A 5,225-nucleotide genomic window follows, 5' to 3' on the forward strand; every position below is an offset into this window, starting at 1 on the left:
CTGTACTGTCTTTGGGTCCTTGCTCATGTTTACGAATGAACTCCATGGTACAGGGAATGCTGATGAAAAGATTGATTGGACTATGTTTGTCCTATTCATCCTACTTTCCATACATTGATACTTCTTATTTGTTGTTTAAGCCGTAAAGCTATTTCCCTTACTTTGTGTTTTCAGTAAGCCACAGCTTGACATCACGATTGCTCACTAGGTTCCCCTTCTCCTCAATCACCCACTGAAATGCTATAGCAGATGTGTGAGCTCCTCTGCCCATCTTCACATCAAAGCAGCCTTTTTCTCTTTCTTCCTATAACTCACCGGCATCAGTCCCCTTGAACTCTCACTCTTCACTCCCCACAGCCCAATCAGAGTTCATTGTTAACGCTGTTTTACTAATGCTCCTCATTCATTTCTGAATTTACAAATGGAAAACACACACTCCAGGGTAAAATATCCCAATGGATACGGTTTCTGAAAAAGACATGTCAAATTACCCAGTAGACATGCAAGGATAATTTTAGAAATTTATTTGTATGTCCCATTTGACAGAAAGACTGGCGCTTTAAAGCGAAAACAATTAGCATAATGAGAAATAAGTCACTGAGTGAGATGCGGTGTTTTAGACAAGGTACACAGCTCTGTCTCTGGAAAGGAACAGGGTTCTGCCAAGCGTCTTTGGTTTTCAAAGTGTTGCTCCGGACATGTAGGGTCACCTGGCGGCACCGTCCAGAGCGATTTAGTTGTGGCTGATTTCGTGGGGGGTTTTTCTTGGTCTCCTTGTGCAGTGAGCATTTCTCTTCAACTATTTTCATGACATTTTTCTAATATTCTGCAAAAACAGAAAGTAGCAAATCCCAATGAGGGGACTTCTTGGCCCTACATCCTTTCTCTACGGAGCCCAAGTGGAGCTCTGGAGGTGAACTGCCCACGCTGCCCAAATGCACTACTCAGGGAAGCTCTGGCTACTATCCTGCCATGCCCCCATTTCCCTCTTGACCAAACGGTCCTCTGCCAAAGGTGGAATAATCTATGTGGCTATGTGTTGGGCCATCTGGTGTGGTTCTTTCCCACTTCTGATGGGCTCAAGAAAATTTTGATTTTTGTCATTTTCCCAGCTTTTGTTTCATGGTTTGACTGAGAGTGTCACCCTTTACTGGTTTCTACATATGAAGGAGAAAGGTTGTTTATGAGATGTTTCAAAATTCACGGGAAACATTTGACAAAAATGGCCACATATTGAGCTTCAAGGCACAATACAATAAATTCCTATGGGTCGCAATCCCAGAGTATGTTCTCTGGTCCACATACTCGGGCGGCTGGAGATCCTCTGAAAAGAAAAGCAATGGGAAAGTCAGCAGCTGCTCTGAAATTCAACAATACACTCATAGGAAAAAGTGCTAAAAATACAAAGACTTGGGACCCAGAAGAAAGCACAATGAAAGCTAACCTATATTAACATTAACATGAATATTAATATGCAAATCTCTTGAGGAAATAAGCGTTATCTGACTTCTCCTAAAGGCTGACCATCCTCTGCATAACTTGATGCTAGGGGCAAGGAACATATACTACTCCTAGCACTGGATTCATATCCTTAAATGACCATGATTACAAACACTGAAAACAAAAACATCAGGTAAAGAATCACAACCCTGTCCCCCCAAACACCAGACTGCATATCAGTGCAAGGCTGTTGTGGGTTCAGCCTGGTTCACTGCCCCCACACTGGGACAATGACTGTTGCTCATAGACTGCAAGTCACTCATTGGCTACACCACTGAACACTAGGGCATGAGCCATTTCTGTGGACACTCCCTAAGCCTACTGACACAAACCTGGAAGTAACGAAGGTTTCTGTTTAAAAAGAAACGAAAAGATTATCGTCATGGCAAAAAAAGAATGAACTGCAATAGTGATCTCAGAGTCGAGGAAGCTGGAAAATGAACGGATTCTTGAAAATTTTATTTAGCTGTATGTACACTGTAACTTGGCCTCATTTGCTTATTTACATGGATTCGTGATGGGAGCGGTGTTGAAAACATTTAGGAGGGTTACCTTGCTTCTTGTATCAGCGTATTCACTTTCTCTGTTGCTGTATGGCATACAGTGAAGTTCTGGAAAATTCCACCATCCAGTCACAGGAGAATGAGACAGAAAAAGGTAAAGATCAGTGCAGTAATAATATCACCATATAGATAGCCTAGAAACATAACTAACAAAAATGACCGTTTACGAAACTGAGGAAATGAAACACGATCACGGAAACACCCACTATTTTTCCTTGGAGCAAACTGCACTACAGATATATTGGAGCTGACAATGTTTAGTACTGAGGGGAAAATGCTTGAAACATTGCAGGATGCCACACGCCACATGCCCCCCAAGTCGGAAGGGCACCACCCACCCCAGCCTCCGGTGGTGTCCCCCTTGGCGAGCCACTGGTCTTTCAGGCCACATTCAGTGGCTCTGAAAAGACCCTTTGGGTTCCCGTGGTGCTCGGGTGCTCCTGAGGGAGCGCACTTGCTCCTGGTGTACCTGAGGACAGCCTTCGTGCCTTCGGACTCGGCGAGCTTGCCCATCTGCCCCGGCAGCAGCAGGCGCACAGCCATCCGGGTCTCCCAGGCAGTGATGGTCTGGCGCTTGGTGGAGCGGGCCAGGTGACCAGCCTCGGTGGCGATGCGGTCCAATATGTCATGAACCAAAGAATCCATGACACTCACGGCCTCCCGGGAAAGGCTGAGGCCCTGGTGAACCTGCTTCAGCACCCGGCGGAAATAGGTGGCGAAGCTGTCCCCGCGGCAGTTGGAGTGGCACCTGCGGGGCCCATGGCGCCCTCGCTTCCTCTGCTTGCTCTGCTTCTGGGACGTAGTGGAGTTGGCCTCTTTGGGCTCCTGGGTGATCAGCTGTTCCTCAGAGGTCGTCTCAGAGGAAGGTCCAGCCATGGCGGAGGCAGTGGCCATTAGATGGCACGACCAGACAATGGCGGTTGTGGACCGGGGAAGCCGGGGCACTTCGGTACGCAGCATGGCTCCACGTCTCGGGCCAGCTTCACGTCTGATTGGATGAAGTGTCACGCAGGGAGCCTCTCAGCAAACCTACCTGCGTTGAAGGTGACTGGATGGTCCCGTTGCGTGGCATCTCGTCAACCAATCACAGTGGGCGTCTGCGGGCCTAAGCGCCCCTTGTGGCCCAGCTCGGAGAAAGTTACACAGATAGATGCCTCACGGGGCAAAAGCGCATCCGCCCTTCTCAGCTGATCCATGCCACACTGTGAGCACTTTGAAGGGTGTCACTGAAAACTCCCAAAGTTTAGCAATTTCAGCTCATGATCCCTGAGGAGAGACAGACCTCCTGAGCCCAAGTCCATTATGCCGGAAGAATGACTGTGGCCACGTGTGGAACAATTGTCACCCATCTCAGAAGCTACTGTTATCCTGGGCTAAGCCACCCTGGCTTGAGCAGGAACTCCCTGACATGGCCGCCTGGGCATCAAAGGACCTAGCGGTCTGGCTCCGGGCTTCAGTACTGATCAACATCTTCCGTGAATCAGGAGAATGAGAAATGGCCATACCCCAGCCTCCAAGCAGACAATAGAAACAGAAAGGCACTTTTATTAAAAACATATGACAACACTCGACATCGACCAGGTTTAAAAAAATAATTAAAAAAAAAAAAAGGAAAGCAAAACAACAACCACAAATCACAACTCAAAAGCTGGAAATGGCTAATAAGTTTAAGAGATATTGGGTTAAAAAATATCGCCTTAAATCTCCTAGGAAGCCCCTGAGGGAGAGAAAGGGATTCCAGAAATGGAAATTATGTTCAAGTTAGAAAGAGAGCTTTCAAGAGTCTCTGATAATATACGCAAAGGCATTCCTTAAATGCATTTAAGTAACATTAAGTTGCAGGAATTGAACAAGAAAGATTCTTAAGAAATGCTGAAGAAATAAAGGTCATCGATGAACTGTCATTTCAAAGGTCAGGCTTTCAAGTGTATTTCCTGTCATGTCTTTAGCAAACAACTTATTCTACTCCTAATAAATTGGTTCACGATTAAGAAGGACAAAAAGGCTCATTTTTGTTGTTAGATAAGATCGTATATGGTAAGCTCTGTGACTGAACTCTAGTACACCATTTCTGAACAGTCCCCTTTACAAATGATGATCTTATAAATCTACTTAAACGTTTAGCAAGACAATCCTTCTCGTAGTTTGGTACAAGGCACAAGAGACCTGTCCACAACAATCTCTGTATTCATATCAGTAAGTCAGCATGATATTTTTCTTAAAAAAAAAAAAGCAAACAAAAAACAGGGAAAGAGCCACATCGTTTTTCTTCACAATCTGCAAGGTTAAACCTCCCAGGGAGGCTCTCACTGGTTCATTTCCGGGTCACCTCCCCACACTTTCAGCCATGGCTTGTGGTGCCTCAAGGGCTGGAAAGCCTTTATTGCCTGAGCCAGTGGTGACTATGGCATGAGCTGCTCTCACAGGATGTTCCCATCATCTACGTGATGCAAAATTGTAATATATAGTCCTTATTTTGTTTCTCTAATTCTTTTTTTTTCTTTTTTTTGAGACAACAATCTGTCACCCAGGCTGGAGTGCATTGGTGCGATCTCAGCTCACTGCCACCTCCACCTGCTGGGTTCAAGAGGTTCTCCTGCCTCAGGCTCCCCAGTAGCTAAGACTACAGGGATGCGCCACCACACCCGGCTAATTTTTGTACTTTTAGTGGAGACGGGGTTTTATCATGTTGGCCACGCTGGCCTTGAACTCCTGGCCTAAAGTGATCCATCCACCTCAGCCTCCCAAAGTGCTGGGATTACAGGCATCAGCCACTGCGCCCTGCCTGTTTCCTTAATTTTTAATATAGTCATAATCTTTATTGCATCAGGGTGTTTTCCATTTTATTTTAAGTTCGGGGGTACATGTACAGAATGTACAGGTATTTTAGAGAGGTAAACGTGTGTCATGGGGCTTTTCTGTGCCGATTATTTCATCACCCAGGCATTAAGCCTAGTAACCATTAGTTATTTTTCCTGATCCTGTCCCTCCTCCCACTCTCCACCCTCCGATAGGCCCCAGTGTGTGTTGTTCCTCTCTATGTGTCCATGTGTTCTCATCATTTAGCTCCTACTTACAAGTGAGAACATGCACTATTTGGTTTGCTGCTTGTATTAGTCTGTTCTCACGCTGCTATGAAGAAATAGCCGAGACTGGGTTATT

The 5,225-nt window shown here is 45.8% G+C and overlaps 1 protein-coding gene across 1 annotated transcript; it reads right to left on the minus strand.

Annotated features, from left to right (window-relative positions):
• Positions 510-3,071, minus strand: H2BW1 (H2B.W histone 1). The gene is made up of 3 exons (NM_001002916.5): positions 2,533-3,071; positions 2,053-2,111; positions 510-826 (listed from the first exon to the last, which is right to left on the minus strand). The coding sequence occupies exons 1-2, from the start codon at positions 2,937-2,939 to the stop codon at positions 2,075-2,077; spliced, it is 444 nt and encodes a 147-aa protein (NP_001002916.4). The 5' UTR covers positions 2,940-3,071; the 3' UTR covers positions 510-826; positions 2,053-2,074.

Source organism: Homo sapiens, chromosome X, assembly GCF_000001405.40.
Source record: "Homo sapiens chromosome X, GRCh38.p14 Primary Assembly".
Taxonomy (NCBI): domain Eukaryota; kingdom Metazoa; phylum Chordata; class Mammalia; order Primates; family Hominidae; genus Homo; species Homo sapiens.